We start from the raw sequence: 19,125 nt of genomic DNA, 5'->3' as shown, positions 1-19,125 counted from the left end.
GGCCCACAACCTGTCTTTCTGCCTGTCTGTAATCACAGCTGGAGAAGGCAGAGCGTCACGGGAGTCGGGCTCGGGGCCGGGCCCTGGAGAGGCGGCGGCGGCGGAAGGTGGATCGGGGTGGGGAGGGCGATGACCCAGCCCGAGAGGAGCTAGAGCCAAAGAGGGTACGGAGCTCAGGGCCAGAGGCTGAGGAGGTCCAGGAGGAGGAAGAGCTGGAGGAGGAGACTGGGGGTGAGGGCCCCCCTGCACCCATCCCCACCACTGGCAGCCCCAGCACCCAGGAGAACCAGAATGGCTTGGAACCGGCGGAAGGGACCACTTCAGGCCCCTCGGCCCCTTTCTCCACTCTGACTCCCCGGCTGCATCTGCCCTGCCCACAGCAGCCGCCTCAGCAACAGTTGTGACAGTGGCTGAGCCTAGCACAGACCCTGACAGAGACCCCCCTCGGCCTCAAGGATCCTCTTTCTGACCATCAAGCCTGCTTCTTGGGGGGTGGGCGGGTAGGGGGGTGGCCATCCCTGCTACCCGCCCACCCCTGAGTCCCTTGACTTTTGTATTCTGACTCCAAGGTATTGTTCAGACCTCAGCTCCTGGGGGCCGGCCCCTGGAGTCTTCCCTCCCTGGTAGCCTCTAACCAGCATTCCCAGACACCTGAGGCAGATAGATGGATGGGCTGGTGGGCAGGGGGGTGGCTGGGGCTGGGCCATCACCATTCCAGAGACAAGGCCAGTGTATATGCAAACTGGGGGACTCTCCTCCCTTCTCTCCCCAGTTCTGGTCCTGGCCAGGCCATGCTACACTAACCCCTGCCCCCACTCTCCTCCCCTCTTTTCCTTCCTTCCTACCCCCTTCTCCCTCTCCCTTCCCCTGACTGTTCCACCCAGGAGGAGGAAACTTCACATAGCCGTGCTCACAGTTTTTTATTTTAAAGGAATTTGGCTGGGGAGCTGAACAGGGCTCCCTGTGATCTGAAGAAAGCTTTTGGTGCTTGTCCTCACAACCACCTCAGTCCTCCCTCCCTGTCCTCCCCTGTCTCCTTTCCTCCTCCTGGGTTCATGTTGTAATAAAAGAAGATTGTTGGTGTGTAATTAATTTGTTCAAAAGAAAAAAAAAAGCAAAACAAGAAACTTGGTTCCAACTGAAGCCTATTTTAATTTTATTTTATTATTTTCCTCTTGTTAGAAATAAAACCCTTAGAAACATTTTTTGGAAACATGTTTCTGAAGTGCATTTCTCTTAGACGGGGAAGACAGTGCTTCCATCACCAGTCAGTGGAGCAGCTGTAGTGCTGGCAGGAGCACTAGGGCTGAAGCCAGGGAGCTCTGGGTTCTGAAATCAAGTTCCACCAGCTTCTTAACCTTGGGCAAGACATTCTGATCCTCCCCCGACTCTAACCCCAAGCCACTTTCCCTCAAGTCCAAACAGATGGGCTCGGGCCCCCTCACCCAAACTCCTACACTACAACCTCCCCCAGTTGATGCCCTCCAGTTTATCCTCCTCAAGCTCCCAAAGGGATTTTTTTGTTAATGGCTTTATTGAGATATAATTTACATACTATAAAATTCACTTGTTTGAAATGTACAATTCAGTGATTTGGGGGGTTTCTAAAGTGTAGATCTGATTATATACTGCTTAAAACCTTCCATGATGCTTTATTGCCCTTAAGATTATACATAGAATCTCGTTCTTCCTAGAATGTTTTCCTGTCTAACCCATCTACTGCATAATTCCCTGATTTTTCTCCACAGGTTATGCCCCTGATGAATGGGGACTAAAGCTCAGATGTGTGGTCATTTGCAACCCCTGAGTTCACTTTTTTAAGACAGCTTATTGATATATATAATGTACATACCATACAGTCACCCACTTAAAAGTATACAATTAAATAGCTTTTAGTATATTCAGAGTTGTGCAGCCATCATTCGAAAAAAAATTTCAGAACATTTTCATCACTGCAGAAAGAAACTCCATATCCCTTAGGCGTCCTTTACCCCTCATCCCATTTGCCTATTCTGGACATTTTACATAAATGGAATCGTATAATATGTGATCCTTTGTGTCTAGCTTCTTTCACTTAGCAAAGTGGTTTCAAGCCCATTAATGGTCCCATAGTAGTTGGAAAGATCTCTCTTCTGAGTCCCAAAGTCTTTAAGATGAGGGTGCTGGACTAAATCAGGGACCATCAACAGATTGTTTACATGTTTTTGTGGGTGTTTGCATGCATGTGTTTTTCTGACAAGAAGACTAACCAGCTTGTATCAGATTCATAAAGGGATCCTTGACCCTCCAAAGGCTAAGAACCATTCTTTGTGGTCTTGAGTGTTCTGTGTTTGGAGTCTGCCCATGATACGAGGATACAAAGGAGGAAGCAAGAGTATGGAAGCCCTAAGCCAGTCAGCTTCCTATCATGCCTGCCTCAAGGGCTTTCCGTCCTCTCAAGGGGCTGTGAGGAGGCTAAAGGCTGGGTCCTGATCCCTAGCCCAGGAGCTTAGCACACTGCCACTCTTATTTTGCTTTCTCATCTGAACGTTCATGGGTTTCATTCCCCCTTCCCAATATTTGCAGCTGATAGGAACCTAGTGGTAAATAAGAAAGCCCGCCCTCTTCTGGCAGCTTTGATTGGTGGGAAGGTCTGGCTCAGCCCTGCTTCATCTAGTCTTCCAGTTGGGACCCTAGGCTATACAAGTAAGGAGAGAGAGAGGAGTCCGTGGACAACCCTGCCGGGTCCAGCTTGACCCCAGGTCTCAGTCTAGGGGAAAAGGCTGACCTTTTGGCTGGAATTGATCATGAAAAGGGGGTTGGAGGAGCTGACAGGAGAGATGAGTGTGAGAGCTGGGATGGGCAGGAAGGGGCTCAATCTCAGCACTTAACTACCACTGCCAAGGCAGTCAGCCACAGGAAGTGTCCAGACAGGAGAGGAAGAGATGGTGCCTACAACCTGAAGCAACTCCCAGGTTAGAGAACTGCTTGGCCCAGGACGGAGGCCTCCCTGGTATAGGCCCATCCTTCACCAGTTTTCAGACAGCCTTTACCATGTTGGCACGTCTGTGTCCCATCCCTCACACACTCCTTCACAGCAGACATGCATTCCATGAACTCTGCAGGAGAGGCCCTGGCCATCATCCTGCAAGACCCAGATCAAATCTAACCTCTTCCAGAGAGCTTTCTCTGGTTCCAAATCTGCCCTCTTTCCCAGATACTCCCCTAGAAAGGGAGGGGGACTGGCTCAGGGGACACCCTCCCCCTCAGATAAGGGGCTGGGGAGAATGAGGTCAGGGAAGCAGTGGGTATCTTCTCACCTCAAAGTCATTTTCTATTATAGAGATATCACCTAGCTGCCGAGTCCTCCCAAATGTTGCCACATCCCTCAGGATGGCTCCTGAATCTGCAGGTGACAAGGGGATGGAAAGAGACATCACTTCTATTAAGGACTTTACCCAAACCCTTCAGGCCCAACTGAACCCTTCTTCCCCTTCTCCTTAGTGTCTCCACCTGTGCCTTACCTGGTGTCTGAAACACACTAAGATTAATAGGTCTGTCTCTCCTCCCACCCCCAAGCTCTGGAGCTTCTGGAGGGAAGGCAAGGCCCAGGCCTCAGTCTGTCTCCACTTCCAGGCCAAGGGCCCGCAATCTAGCTTAGAAGGAGGTAGGAGCATCAGTTGGGGCTCCACACTGTGCATATGACTCTGTTTCCTTTGCATTGCAGAGTCCAGTGGTACAGGATACCACCCCTTGGGAGTGGCGCCTGGGGTCTGAGGTACATGGTCAGTGGGTCCTTGAAGGGGCAGACACTAACCATGCTTCCCAGAAGACCTGAAATTGTGATGGGAGAAGAGGGGTTAGGAAGCAGAGGAACAGGGTTCTTGCCCCTGGGCACTCACATGAAAGGAAGGGGAACAGCCCCTTGTGAACCTCCACCTGGGTGCTCAGCTCCATGTGAGGTATTTCACAAAGTCCCCAACAGACACAGGAAACAGACCCCTAGGAAAACAGGCCTCACCTAAGCATATCAGCCTGGCAGAGCTGGGATTTTCACCAAATCTCTGTGACCCTAAGGCCTGTGCTAGACAGAAGGGGTCCAAAGTAATCAGCCTGCAATCCGGAAATAGTTCACAGTGGGAGCTCAGTGTTGATCTCTGCTGTTGGTAGGTTGGGAATTCAGCAGTGCTAGGGCCACAGTGGCCTTGGTAGGTTAGAAGTTCATATTGCCGAGGTACATAACCTCCACGCCTATCTCTATTGGTTATATATTTGCTACATAACAAATTATCTCAAAAACAGTGGCTTAAAACAACATTTTATCTCACAGTCCCTGTGGTTAGGAATCTGGGCACAACTTAGCTGAGTTTCTGTTTCAGGGTCTCACAGCCAGCAAGGTGTGAGCTGGGGCTACAGTCATCTCAAGGCTTGACTGGGGAAAGATCTGCTTTCAAGCTGACTCATGTGGCTGTTGGCATATTCAGTCTTGCTGGCTGTTGGCTGGGGGTCACTCTCAGGTTCCTTGCCATGTGCACCCTTTCATAGGGTGGCTCATAATATGGCAGCTTGCTTCATCACAGCAAACAAGTAAGATGAGCTAGAGATAGAAGGAGAGTGCCCACATGCCAGACAGAACTCATAGTCTTTATAACTTAATTTCAGATGTGAGATCCCATCACTTTTGCAATATTCTATTCGTTAGAAGTAAGTCAGTTACTGCCGGGCACAGTGGCTCACACCTGTAATCCCAGCACTTTGGGAAGCTGAGACGGGCGGATCACCTGAGGTCAGGAGTTCGAGACCAACCTGACCAACATGGAGAAACCCCATCTCTACTAAAAGTACAAAATTAGCTGGGTGTCGTCGCGGGTGCCTGTAATTCCAGCTACTCAGGAGGCTGAGGCAGGAGAATTGCTTGAACCCGGGAGGCAGAGGTTGCGGTGAGCCAAGATCGCGCCATTGCACTCCAGTCTGGGCAACAAGTGCAAACTCCGTCTCAAAAAAAAAAAAAGTAGGTCAGTTACTAGGTCCAGGCCACACTCAATGGGAGGGGATTACACAAAGGTGTGAATACCAGGAGGCGGGGGGTCATTGGGGGTCATCTTGGAGACTGACAACTATAGTTTTTCCACTGGTCCTGGTGATTCATGTTGCTTCCACATGCAATATACATTCACCACTTCCCAAAGTCTCTCAAAGTCTCATCCAATTACAGCATTGCCCCAAAATCCAGAACATCTAAATCAGGTCCATATATGAAAGAGGCTGTTTGAGTATGGCTTCTTAACTACTATTTTTCTCCATCTTTAGATTTGTGAGACAATTGTTTTTTTGTAAAAAATTATTTTTTGGCCGGGTGCAGTGGCTCACGTCTGTAATCCCAGCACTTTGGGAGGCCGAGGCGGGCGAATCATGTGGTCAGGAGATCGAGACCATCCTGGCTAACACGGTGAAACCCCGTCTCTACTAAAAATACAAAAAATTAGCCGGGAGTGGTGGTGGGCGCCTGGAGGCTGAGGCAGGAGAATCGCTTGAACCCGGGAGACGGAGTTTGCAGTGAGCCGAGATCACGCCACCGCACTCCAGCCTGGGCTACAGAGCAAGACTCCGTCTCAAAAAAAAAAAAGAAAATTATTTTTTATTTTTATTTTGTTATAGAGACGAGATCTTACTATATTGCCCAGACTGTTCTCAAACTCCTGGGCTCAATCCTTCCACCTTGGCCTCCCAAAGTGCTGGGATTACAGGCATGAGCCACCGTGCCTGGCTGATTTGTGAGACTTAAGAGGCAAGTTATCTGTCCCCAACACACCCTAGGTACAATGGTGGGATAGCCATAGGACAACTACTACAGACATTCTGGTTCAAAAAGAGGGGAAATGGGAGACATAAAGGAGTTACTGGTCTATAACTAACAACTCTGAAATCCAGCTGGGAAAATGGAAGTTTCTTGATTAGATGTCAAGGCCTGGGAATAATATTCTAAGGCTCTGCCCTCTGATCTCTTGGTTTTACCCTGTGTGCCTTCCTTTTTCATGAAAGGCAGCAAATGTTTGCAGCTGAACTGTTTCCCCAGTTTGCTTCCTGCCAGTAGAATTTTGGGGGTCCAGTGGCTTTTTTTCATTTTGTCTTGTCTGTAATCAGCTGCCACCAAGAAATAGTTCCACAGGGGGGCTTGGGTTACTGTTCTGTTGGCAGGTTGGGCACTCAGCAGTGGCTTATAGCCAGATTGGTCGTGGTGGAAGTCCATATTGTGGAGTCCATGCATAACCTCCATGCCTGCCACCATGGCCATTTTGTTCAGGAATCCATTGGGCAAAGAAAAGGGTGACAGATAAGAGGCTGACTGACATCACAGAACAGGACACCTACCTGTCTACTTGATTGAGCTCCTCTTCTGCAGTGGACTCTCTCTGGTGCTTATTTATGTGGGACGTGAATATCTCTGCCCATTCCAAGAGGGACAGCCATATGCTCTTCCTCAGACCTTGTCAATAATATTTCAGTCCTGTTATTTCCAAGTCCTTCACCATTTAGCCGAATCATTAAAAACTACTCATGAAACAGTGGAAACCTATCTATACCTCTGACCAGCTATGTGACCAGGCAGTTGTTCTACTGGGAGAATTTCCCTTCTCACTGTCCTTCAGGATCAACCCTAAGTAGGGCTGTAACACTACAGCTAGCTACTTCAGCAGGGCCAGCATATCATGCAGGGCTATGTATAAACCAAGCTGGAATAGAATATTGTATCCCTTAGTCACCTGGTCACAGGGAATTCCCCATGAGGCTTCAGGTGTGGGTGAGAGAGGGATGGCAGTACAGCAGTTGGGAGTATGATTCACTTGCTCAGGCAGCTTATTCATCATCTAGGCCTGCTTGTATAACTCTATTCTATTCGGTGGTGGAGTGCTACTGCACATAGATAACTTCGTGGCTTGATGAGACAGTTAACACACAACTCACCATGGGGAGCTCAGCTTGCCTGGGTCACTTGGAGTCCTATGCTCAGCCATTCATTCACAAAATAGACCCACTTTTCCATTTTTATTTTTCTCTGCTCCTGGGACTCCTGTTGTCACGATATTGCCACCTCCAATTTTATCCCCCATTTCTTGAATCTTTAACTTGCTCTTCAGCTGTAGTCCTCCTCCCCTTTATGCCATCTATACTGTGTAGATTCGAATAGTATATCCAAGAACTGGAGAAATCACCACAGGATTTCTTCTGGGCCCAGTGTAAGAAAGACTCAGATCAAAACTTCATGTATAACCCCATCCCACTCTGACTGATGGGCTGCAGTGGCAATCTGGATCACCAGAGATTAACATTAATTCAGAACCAATATCCAGTCTATTTCAAAGGCCTGGATATTTCCCTGTCCCCAGTGTACAATGACTGTGGCTGCAGGTCTCTGTGAGGAAAGCAAGGAGGGAGATTTTGCCATACACACTTGTGAAAAGTGTAGCAAGGTCCTTCTTCAGATGGACCCTCCCCTTCATTCAAGGGGCTCTGGTCTATGAACTGGGGAAGAGGCTGGGATGCCACATTTTTGAGGACAAAATCAGGCCTCCATTTTCCAGAGTAGAAGATTATTGGGGTTATATAACAACTAGGACTTTATCAGGCTACCTATTTTGGTCCTAGGGAAACTATCCTTAATTATCCACTGTTATACAAACCTCCACAGGTCAAACCTGATTATTGCTATGGCTCTGCTATCCATTATAAGAACGAGACCCAACTTCTCTTTGGAGATGAACCTGTCACCTCCATTGAAATCAGGGAGCCCATTCATGATTTCTCACCATGACCCTCACCTGCAGAAATAAATCACTGCAATGCTTTATAATACTGGTACTCATTCATGTACTAGTTAAGGTAAAGCTAGCTCCTGGGACAGAAAAAAATTTTCTGAGATTTAAGACAAGTTTACTTCTTGCTTCTGTAGTATTCCAAAACAGGTGTTAATAATTGAGTTTCCCTCTTCTAAGTGATGATTCAGAGGCTTAGGCACTTTCTGTCTAGAAGGTCTGCCATCTTCAAAACATGGTCATCATTGTATTTATTGTCATCTCCATCCTTAATAGCCAGAAGAGGAAAAGACCATGTGGGAGGTTTCTATGAGCCGGATGTAGCACACATCACTTCTCATATTCCATTAGCCAGAACTCAGACAATGGGCATACCCAACTGTAAGGGACACTGACAAATGTAGTCTAAATCTGTCCCTAGGAGGAAGAGGAAACAAGTTTAATGACCACTTAGCTAGTCTCTACCACAGTGTATTTCTCAAAGTCCTGTGAAAGGAATGTCAATGTCCACATAGTCAAAAGGGTGAGTTGAATGTGTTACATATGACTAATCGATTCCAACATTCTTATTGCCCTAAACGATGGATTCCCCTGCCTACACTGTACCATGGAATTTCTGGCATCTTAACCTCATTTAACACAAGCTACTATTGAGTAGAGGTTTTGGTCAATCAATAGAACAATTTTTAGAAATACTCCTAGCTGCTTCAACTAACAAAGTACATCCAGGATTGCTGATGAGTGTACCCATACTGAAAAGTTTGGCCCTACCCAAACCAGATAAAGACATCACAAGAAAATAAAATTACAGACAAATATCCTTTATGAATATAGATGCAAAATCCCCAACAAAATACTAGCAAACTAAATCCAACAGCATATTAAAAGTAGGATACGTCTTGGCCAAGTGGGATTTATCTTAGGAATGCAAGAATGGTTCAACATAAGAAAATCGATCAAGGTAATAACATCACATTAATAGAACAAAGGAAAAGAAACACATGATCATCTCACTTGATGCAGAAAAGGCATTTCAGGCTGGGTGTGGTAGCCAACACTTATGATCCCAGCACTTTGGGAGGCTGAGGTGGGAGGACTGCTTGAAGCCAGGAGTTCGAGACCAGCTTAGGCAACATAGCAAGACCCCATCTCTACAAAAAAAATTTAAAAATTAGCTGGGCATGGTGATGTGTGTCTGTACTCCCAGCTACACGGGAGGCTGAGGAAGGAGGCTCCCTTGAGTCCAGGAGTTTGAGGCTGTAGTGAGCTATGATCATGCCACTGCATTCCAGCCTAGGTGACAGAATGAGACCTCATCTCTCTTAAAAAAATAAAAAAGGCATACAGCTAATAAATTCAGCAAAGTTGCAAGGTGCAAGATCAACACATAAAAAGCAGTGTGCTTTTATACACTAGCAATGAGCAATCCAAAATGAAGTTAAGAAAACAATTCAATTTACAATAGCATCTGAAAGAATAAAATATCTAGGAATAAATTTAATCAAGGAGGAGAAAGACTTGTATATTGAAAACCATGAAACATTGGTGAAAGAAATTAAAGATCTAAAGAAATGGAAAGGCATCTCATGTTCATAGATTGGAAGACTTAATACTGATAAGATGTTGATACTAGCCAAAGTGATCTACAGATTCAACACAGTCCTTATGAAAATTCCAACAGCTTTTTTGCAGAAATGAAAAAGCTAGCGGGGTGCGGTTGCTTATGCCTGTAATCCCAGCACTTTGGGAGGCTGAGGCGGGCAGATCACGAGGTCAGGAGTTCGAGGCCAGCCTGGCCAACATGGTGAAACCCCCGTATCTACTAAAAATAATTTAAAAAAATTATCCGGGCATGGTAATCCATGCCTGTAATCCCAGCTACTCGGGAGGCTGAGGCAGAAGAATTGCTTGAACCTGGGAGGCGGAGGTTGCAGTGAGCTGAGATCGCGCCACTGCACTCCAGCCTGGGTGACAGAGCAAGACTCCGTCTCAAAAAAAAAAAGAAAAAAAAAAGAAATGAAAAAGCTGATCCTCAAATTCATATGGAATTACAAGGGGCCGTGAATAGCCAAAACAATCTTAGAAAAAAAAGAACAAAGTCAAATGGCCAATTTTTTTTTTTCAAGACACAGTCTTGCTCTGTTGCCCAGGCTGGAGTGCAGTGGCGTAATCTTGGCTCACTGCAGTTTGAGGCTCACTGCAGCCTCAAACTCCTGGGCTCAAATGATCCTCCTACCTCAGCATCCCAAGTAGGTGGGATTTAAAAGGCATGTGCCAATACACCCAGCTAATTTTTTTTTTTTTTTTTTTTTTTTGTAGAGACAGGGTCTCACTCTGTTGCCCAGACTGGCCTCAAACTCCTGGGCTCGAGCAGTCCTCCCACCTCAGCCTCCCAAAAATGTTGGGATTACAGGTGTGAGCCACTGTGCCCAGCCACCAATTGATGTTTTACAAGAGTGCCAAGTCCATTCAACGAGGGGAGAGATTAGTCTCTTCAACAGATGGTGCTGGGACAACTGGATTTTCACATGCAAAAGTATGAAGTTGGATGCCTAATTCACACCAGATACCATTAACTCAAAATGGATTAATGACCTAAATTTAAGTCCTAAAACCATAAAACTGGAGGAAAACATAGGAGTTAATGTTCATGACCTTGGATGTGGCAACAGTCTCAGGTGTGACACTACAAGCATGAGCAACAACAGAAAAAACAGATAAATTGGACTTCATCAGAATTAAAAATTTTGTGCATCAAAGGACATCAAGAAAGTGAAAAGACAGCCTACAGAATAAGATAACATATTTGCAGTCATATATCTGATAAGGATTTACTATCCAGAATATACAAACAACTCCTACAACTCAACAACAAAAAGACAAGCAATTCAATTTAAAAATGGGCAAAGGAGGCCAGGCGCAGTGGCTCACGCCTGTAATCCCAGCACTCTGAGAGGCCGAGGTGGGCGGATCACCTGAGGTCAGGAGTTCGAGGCCATCCTGGCCAACATGGTGAAACCCATCTCTACCAAAAATACAAAAATTAGCTGGGCGTGGTGGCATGTGCCTGTAATCCCAGCTACTTGGGAGGCTGAGGCAGGAGAATCACTTGAACCTGGGAGGTGGCAGCTACAGTGAGCCTTTCCAGAAATTTTTATGTTATATATAGTTTACCACAATGAAAAAGTTTGGCCCAGCCAGGCGCAGTGGCTCACACCTGTAATCCCAGCACTTTGGGAGGCTAAGGTGGGTGGATCACCTGAGGTCGGGAGTTCGAGACCAGCCTGACCAACATGGAGAAACCCGTCTCTACTAAAAATACAAAATTAGCCAGGCCTGGCGGTGGATGCCTGTAATCCCAGCTACTCGGGAGGCTGAGGCAGGAGAATCACTTGAAATCGGGAGGCGGAGGTTGTGGTGAGCCGAGATCAAGCCATTGCACTCCAGCCTGGGCAACAAGAGCGAAAATCCATATCAAAAAAAAAAAAAAAACAAAAAAGGGTGGCTCATGCCTGTAATCCCAGCACTTTGGGAGGCCGAGGCGGGCTAATCACGAGGTCAGGGGATCGAGACCATCCTGGCTAACACAGTGAAACCCTGTCTCTACTAAAAATACAAAAAATTAGCCAGGTGTGGTGGTGGGCGCCTGTAGTCCCAGCTACTCGGGAGGCTGAGGCAGGAGAATGGTGTGAACCCAGCAGGCGGAGCTTGCAGTGAGCTGAGATCGCTCCACTGCACTCCAGCCTGGGAGACAGAGCGAGACTCCGTCTCAAAAAAAAAAAAAGTTTGGCCCAATCAAAAATTACACTTCTTTTTCCCGATCTATCATCCATAGAATCAGTTCTCACATATTATGGAGGTTTCTTTTTTTCTTTTTCTTTTTTTTTTTTTTTTTTTTTTTTGAGACATGGTCTCACTCTGTCACCCATATTATGGAGGTTTCTGCCAGTATAAATTAGCTAAATCTTATCATTTGTGTGTGTGTGCTTTCTCCTCATAGGTTTGACTTTACTTCCTGGGACATACAGGAATCTGAATTCAGTAATGGGTCTGGAGGCAGCAAGAGATGATACGGGTGGATCTTGAAAAGATTAGCCTAACAGTGAGAGGGTCCCCAAGTCAGGCAGGACCAGCCCCATAGACTGGGGAAGAAGGGCTGCTTCTGCTGCCAGGGGAAACTCAGTGAGGGTTGGGGTTTAGGGTGCTCAGATCTATCCAAATCAATCCTGATGTTCCTATTCCTAGTCTCAAGGTCCCATTGTTCCCTAATCAGTAGCCATGTTTTTGCATATGAGACCTGGAGATCCTATGAATTCAACCTGCGTTGTAATTCAGCAACCTGCAGGATTTGGTTTTATGTCTGATTTCAGGCTGCATCAGTCCTGTGCCTGGAAGAGATAAAAAGATTACTTAAAAACAAAAAACAAACAAACAAAAAAAAATATATATATATAAATATAGGCTAGGCGTGGTGGCTCACACCTCTAATCCCAGCAATTTGGAAGGCCGAGGTGGGCGGATCACTTGAGGCCAGGAGTTCAACACCAGTCTGGCCCACATGGTGAAACCCCTCCTCTACTAAAAATACAAAAATTTCCGAGGCGGGCGGATCACGAGGTCAGGAGATCGAGACCATCCTGGCTAACACGGTGAAACCCCGTCTCTACTAAAAATACAAAAAATTAGCCAGGCGTGGTGGCGGGTGCCTGTAGTCCCAGCTACTTGGGAGGCTGAGGCAGGAGAATGGGGTGAACCCCCGGGGGGTGGAGCCTGCAGCGAGCCGAGATCGCGCCACTGCACTCCAGCCTGGGCGACAGTGAGACTCCATCTCAAAAAAAAAAAAAAAAAAAAAAAAAAAGCCGGGTGTGGTGGTGGTAATCCCAGCTACTCGGGTGGCTGAGGCAAGATAATCGCTTGAACCCCGGAGGCAGAGTTTGCAGTGAGCCGAAATCACACCACTGCCCTTAAGCCTGGGTGACAGAATGAGACTCTATTTCTTTGAGCAGTTTTAGGTCCACAGCAAAATTGAGTGGAAAGTATGTATCCCATATACCCCCTGCTCCTACACAGGCACAGCTTCCCCCACTATCAACATCCCCAGCAGAGTGGTACATTCGTTATAGTCAATACACTGGCACATAATTGGTCAAGTACATAGCTTACATTAAGGTTCACTCTTGGTGTTGTACACTCTATGGGCTTTGACAAATGTATAATGACATGTATCCACCATTATAGTATCATACAGAGTAGTTTCATTGCCCTAAAAATCCTCTGTGTTCCACCTATTCATACTTCCCTCCCATAACTCCTAGCAACCTCTGATTTTTTTTACTGTCTCCATAGTTTTACCTATTCCAGAATGTTATTATTTAGGAATCATATAGTATATAGCCTTTTCAGATTGCCTTCTTTCACTTATTAATATGCATTTAAGATTCTTCCATGTCTCTTGGTGGCTTGATAGCTCATTTATCTTTATTGCTGAATAACATTCTGTTGTCTGGATGTACCACATTTTATCTATTTACTTACTGAAGGGCATCTTGGTTGCTTCCAAGTTTGGGCAGTTGTGAATAAATCGGCTATAAATATCCATTGCAGGTTTTTATGTAGTTGTAAATTTTCAAATCACTTGGGCAAATACAAAAGAGTGTGATTGCTGAATGGTAAGGTAAGAATATGTTTAGTTTTGTAAGAACCTACCAAACTGTCTTCCAAAGTGGCTGAACCATTTTGCATTCCCATCAGCAATGAATGAGAGTTCCCGTTGCTCCATATCCTCATCAGCATTTGGTATTGTCGGTGTCCTGGATTTTGGCCATACTAATAGGTATGTGGTGGTATCTCCCTGTATTAATTTGCAAACCCTAATGACATATGATGTGGAGCATCTTTTAACATGCTTATTTGCCATCTGTATATCTTTTTTGGTGAGGTGTCTGTTCAGGTCTTTTCCCTTTTTCTTATTATGAGGTGGGGTATTGCTGTGTTGCCCAGGCTCATCTCAAACTCCTCAGTCAAATGATCCTCCTGCCTCAGCCCTCAAGTAGCTGGGACTACATGCATGTGCCACCATGCCAGGCTTCTTTTGCCTGTTTTTAAATCGGGATGTTCCTTTTCTTATTGTTGAGTTTTAAGAGTTATTTATGTGTCTTAAAGATCCTTTATCAGATATGTCTTTTGCAAATACTTTATACCAGTCTATAGTTTGTTTTCTCATTCTCTTGACAGTGTCTTGTTTTTTTTTTGGAGAGGGAGTCTCTCTCTGTCACCTAGGCTGGAGTGCAATGGCACGATCTCGGCTCACTGCAGCTAATTTTTGAATTTTTTTTTTTTTTTTGAGACGGAGTTTTGCTCTTGTCACCCAGACTGGAGTGCAATGGCACGATCTTGGCTCACTGCAACCTCCGCCTCCAGGATTAAAGCGATTCTCCCGCCTCAGCCTCCCAAGTAGATGGGACTATAGGCACCTGCCACCATGCCTGGCTAATTTTTGTATTTTGGTAGAGACAAGGTTTCACCGTGTTGGCCAGGCTGGCCTTGAACTCCTGACCTCGGGTGATCCACCCACCTCAGCCTTACAAAGTGCTGGGATTACAGGCGTGAGCCACCACCCCCGGATTTAATTTTTGTGTTTTTAGTAGAGATGGGGTTTCACCATGTTGGCCAGGCTGGTCTCAAACTCCTGACCTCAGCTGATCCACTCACCTCAGCCACCCAAAGTGCTGGGATTACAGGATGAGCCATCACACCCGGGTGACAGTATCTTTTGCAGAGCAGAAGTTTTTAATCTGAATGAAGTCAAGCTTATCAATCATTTCTTTCATGGATCATGCCTTTGGCGTTGTACCTAAAAAGTTATTGCCATACCCAAGGGCACTTACATGTTCTCCTATGTTATCTTCTAGGGGTTTTATAGTTTTGCATTTTACATTTAGGTGTATGATCCACTTTGAGTTAATTTTTTGAAGGGTGTAAAGGAGATTTCTTTTTTGAGGGCAGTGAAAGAAGCTCCCCAGTGTCTGACCATGCCTTGAACTAAAAGTTTACAACCATGATCTTGCCTTTTAAAAAGTTTTTTCTTAATTATGTCAGCAATATGTATTTATTGTTGTTCATAAATGGTCAAAATATGCTACCTATTATTAGACTAAAACAAGGTATAACTTCTCAAATACAGCATCACATAGAGACAAAGAATGAAAAGGCCAGTCATGTGTATACTTTAAAACACCCATATATACACATATACCCTCATGTCCAATACAGGCAAATGTTCTCCATTTAAAAGTTCCCAATTTAACTTTGCTTTGAAAGCAGAAAACATTGAGTTGCAGAGGTTCTAAGATATAGACATATTGAACACATTTCAGGCATTTAAAAAATGCACTGAAATAGCAAGAATAAAGTTCTTTTCTGGCCAGGCATGGTGGCTTAGGCCTATAATCCCAACACTTTCGGAGGCTGAGGCAGGAGAATCGCTTGAGCCCAGGAGTTCAAGCCAGCCTGGACAACATAGTGAGACCCTGTCTCAACAAAAAATAAAATATTGGCTGAGCAGAGTAGCGTGCACCTATAGTCCCAGCTACTTTGGAGGCTGAGGTGGGAGGATTGCTTGAGCCCGGGAGGTGGAGACTGCAGTGAGCCGTGATCACGCCACTGTACTCCAGCCTTGGTGACAGAGTGAGACCCTGAAAATAAAGGGTTTTTTTCTTCAAACATTTTGATCTGAGCCAAAGCAAAGAGTACATTAGAACAGACCAGAAAGACGTGTACAAGTAGACCTGTTTCCTTCTCAAACATTTAACAATTTACTTATTAAACATTAAGCTGAGTCAGTTTAAATCAAATGATATAACTGATTATTACTCCAAACAGGAATCTGTTGTTTCTTAGTGTCTGTAGGTAGAAGTTTCACAGATGCAAGGACATTATTTACCTGAAGGATCATTCCTGTTACAATTAGAGGGCATTCATACAAACATTGTTTCCTGTTTTATTTGCCTTTTAAAATCGTGAAACATGACATGAAGACATTTCCTTATGTAATTACAAAACGATTAGTACACCTAACACAATTCACAATCATTCCTTACTGTCATCATAGTCAAATGAATGTCATTATATTCAGATGTTCCCAATTTAACTAAAAACATATTTGAAAAATTATTTACAAATAAAAAACATTTTTTTAAAATGCAGGGTCTTGTTCTGTCATCCAGGCTGGAGTGCAGCACAATCATAGCTCAAACTGTAACCTCAAGCTTCTGGGCTCCAGTGATCCTCCAGCTTCAGCCTCCCGAGTAGCTGGGCCTACAGGCATACACCACCACACCTGGCTAATTTTTATTTTTTTCAAAGCAGGAGTGAAAGTTTATTTAAAAGCTTTAGAACAGTAAGGAAAGGAAAGAAAAGAAGGAAAGTACAACTTGGAAGAGGGCTAAGTGGGTGACTTGAGAAACCAAGTGCACCTAATTTGAATTTTTTTTGTAGAGATAGAGTTTTGCTCTGTTGCCCAGTCTGGTCTCTAACTTCCAGCCTCAAGTGATCCTTCCATCTTGGCCTCACAAAGTGCTGGGATTACAGGTGTGAGCCACCACACCCGACCAAAATATATCTTTTAATAGTTAGATTGTTTGATTCAGGATCCAAACATTGACTTTTATGGTCACCACTTCCTTACTTTTCTTTAACATTTTACCACTTAAGCATGACTTCCTATTTGTGTAGTTTAGTTTTGCCTGTTTTTATTAACATCATAGAGTCGTACAGTATGTATTCTCTTGTGTTTGGTTTCTTTCATTCAACATTATGCTTTTAAGATTGATCCACGTTTTAACATATAGCTGTGCTTTATCTTCTTGCCTGTATAGTATTGAAATCAACCCAGTTTTTGCACTAAACTGAAAATTGAGAAACTTATATTTGTTTTTATCTGAGTTCCTTTCTCAGGAAACCAACCATCAGGCCTCCCAGAGAGAATCGAGGAACTGAAATCTCCCATATCACCACATCCAGACAATGAGACATGGCTGCTGCCTGTTGACAAACTCCTCTTCTTTATACCTCCCGAATTTCTGTTTTCCTGCATATGGTTACGGTGAGACACCAGACCCCTCATCCAACCACCTGCTGCCCGTTGACCAACTCCTCTTCCTTACTCCTCCCTAATTCTTGTTTTACGTTCCTTCCCTACTATATAAACCCCTAACTTTAGTCAATTGGAGAGATGGATTTGAGACTGGTCTCCCATCTCCTGGCTGACATTACTGGCATTAAAGCTGTTCTTCCCTGGCAATATTCATCTCAGTGATTGGCTTTCTGTGCGGCAAGCAACCAGGCCTAGGCTGAACCCCTGGTGTTCGGCAACAGTATTTCATTTTATGAATCTACCATAATCTGTCAACTCTACTTTTGAAAGGCATTTGGAACATTCTGATATTTAACTGTATAAACAATGCTGCAAGAACATTTTTGTACATATTTCCTGGTATACATAAGCAGACTTTTTTTTGTTTTGTTTTAAGACAGAGTCTTGCTCTGTCGCCCAGGCTGGAGTACAGTGGTGCAATCTCAGCTCACTGCAACCTCCACCTCCCAGGTTCAAGCCATTCTCCTGCCTCAGCCTCCCGAGTAGCTGGGACTACAGGTGTGCACCACCACACCCAGCTAATTTTTGTATTTGTAGTAGAGATGGGGTTTCACCATGTTGACCAGGCTGGTCTCGAACTCCTGACCTCAGGTGATTTGCCCACCTTGGCCTCCCAAAGTGCTGGGATTACAGGCATGAGCCACCGCACCCGGCCCTAAGCATACATTTCCGTAGGGTGTATGACTTATTGGGACAAAAGGTATGCACATCTTTAACTTTTCTAGCTAGTGTCAAACTTTTCTGAAGAAGTAGTTTTACTAATGTATATTCCAACCAGCAGAGTATGAAAGGTCCTATTATTCCACATATTTCCCAACCCTTGGAACAGTCAATTTTAAATTTTTGCCAAGCTGAGGATTGTAAAATGGTATCTCATGTGTGTTAAACAGGCATTTTCCTGATAATTAATGAAGTTGAGCACCTTTAATATTTTTTTCTTTTTAGAGACAGGGTCTTGCTCTGTTGCCCAGGCTGGAGTGCAGTAGCATGATCACAGCTCACTGCAGCCTTGAACTACAGGGCTGGGCTCAGGCAGTCCTCCTGCCTCAGGCTCCTAAGCAGCTGGGACTACAGGCATGCCACCATCATGCCTGGATATTAAAAAAAAAATTTGTAGAGATGGTCTCACTATGTTGCCCAGGCTGGTCTTCAACTCCTGGTCTCAACTGATCCTCCCACCTGGGCTTCCCAAGTTGCTGGGATTGCAGGCATGAGCCAGCACACCAGGCCTACCTTTTCATATTTTTTTACTGGCCATTCAAGTACTCTCTTGTAAAACTGTTCAACTCTTTCACATATTTTTCTATTGATTATCTATCTTTCTCTTGTTGAATTGTAGAACTTCATCTTACGATCTGGATATGGAATCTGATTTTAAGTGATGCAAACAAATTTTCCCATTTTGTGGTTTTCCTTTGTACCATTTATGGTGTCTCTGGGTGAAGAAGTTATTATTTTTGACGGAGTCAATTTTATCAGTCCTTTCTTTTCATGGTTTGTACTTTTGGTGTCTTGTTTAAGAAATCTTTTACCATCCCAGGCCCAGCGCGGTGGCTCATGCCTGTAATCCCAAGACTTTGGGAGGCCAAGGTGGGAGGATCACTTGAGGCCAGGAGTTTGAGACCAGCCTGGGCAATGTAGCAAGACCTCCCATCTCTATTTTTTAAAAAATAAATACTTTACTATTCTAATGTCAAGAATATACCCCATTTGTTACTTTCTTTGCTTTTCACACTTAGGTCTATAATCTACCTGGGAATCATTTGAGTTTTAAAAAATATATAATGTGACGTAAATACCCAATTTAGCTTTAGTTATTTATTATTATTTTTTTAACTGGGCACCCAATTGTCCCAGCACCATTTGTTGAAAAGACTGCCCTGCTCCCATGGCTCTACAGAGACACATTTTTGATAAATCAAGTATGCGAATATGCATGGATTCATCCTTCTTTTCTTTTTTCTTTTTTTTTGATGGAGTCTCGCTCTGTCACCCAGGCTGGAGTGCAGTGGCACAATCTCAGCTCACTGCAACCTCCGCCTCCCGGGTTCAAGCAATTCTTCTGCCTCAGCCTCCCAAGTAGCTGGGATTACAGGCACCTGCCATCACACCTGGCTAATTTTTGTATTTTTAGTACAGTCGGATTAGTAGAGTCGGAGTTTCACCATGTTTGCCAGG

At 44.8% G+C, this 19,125-nt stretch overlaps 1 protein-coding gene across 11 annotated transcripts in view, besides 3 other annotated features; it reads left to right on the top strand.

Moving 5' to 3' along the window:
• KDM5C (lysine demethylase 5C) overlaps nucleotides 1-17,094 on the top strand; it is a 48,931-nt gene extending 31,837 nt beyond the window's left edge. For 3 of the 11 annotated variants that reach the window (NR_148674.2, NR_148673.2, NR_148672.2), the window contains 2 exons: nucleotides 13,545-13,626; nucleotides 16,749-17,094. Coding sequence is in view for 8 of the 11 variants with exons in the window: in NM_001282622.3 (NP_001269551.1) it covers nucleotides 39-404 (366 nt within the window). In the remaining 3 variants the exon portion in view is untranslated. Of the gene's footprint in view, nucleotides 1-38; nucleotides 1,214-1,748; nucleotides 2,051-13,544; nucleotides 13,627-16,748 lie in introns of those variants that run through there. The other 8 variants (NM_001353982.2, NM_001353979.2, NM_001353981.2 and 5 more) reach the window with 4 other exon arrangements.
• Nucleotides 3,493-3,542: an enhancer, noted in NCBI's record as "active region_29655". NCBI's record gives its function as "activates an Ori minimal core promoter by ATAC-STARR-seq in GM12878 lymphoblastoid cells {active_cell/tissue: GM12878}" and the evidence as "EXISTENCE:reporter gene assay evidence [ECO:0000049][PMID:35858748]".
• Nucleotides 3,913-4,192: an enhancer, noted in NCBI's record as "active region_29654". NCBI's record gives its function as "activates an Ori minimal core promoter by ATAC-STARR-seq in GM12878 lymphoblastoid cells {active_cell/tissue: GM12878}" and the evidence as "EXISTENCE:reporter gene assay evidence [ECO:0000049][PMID:35858748]".
• Nucleotides 4,373-4,452: a silencer, noted in NCBI's record as "silent region_20856". NCBI's record gives its function as "represses an Ori minimal core promoter by ATAC-STARR-seq in GM12878 lymphoblastoid cells {active_cell/tissue: GM12878}" and the evidence as "EXISTENCE:reporter gene assay evidence [ECO:0000049][PMID:35858748]".

The sequence above is a fragment of the Homo sapiens genome, chromosome X, assembly GCF_000001405.40.
Source record: "Homo sapiens chromosome X, GRCh38.p14 Primary Assembly".
Classification (NCBI taxonomy): domain Eukaryota; kingdom Metazoa; phylum Chordata; class Mammalia; order Primates; family Hominidae; genus Homo; species Homo sapiens.
The sequence above is the reverse complement of the archived record's forward strand: the minus strand, read 5'-3'. Positions and strand labels throughout refer to the sequence as shown.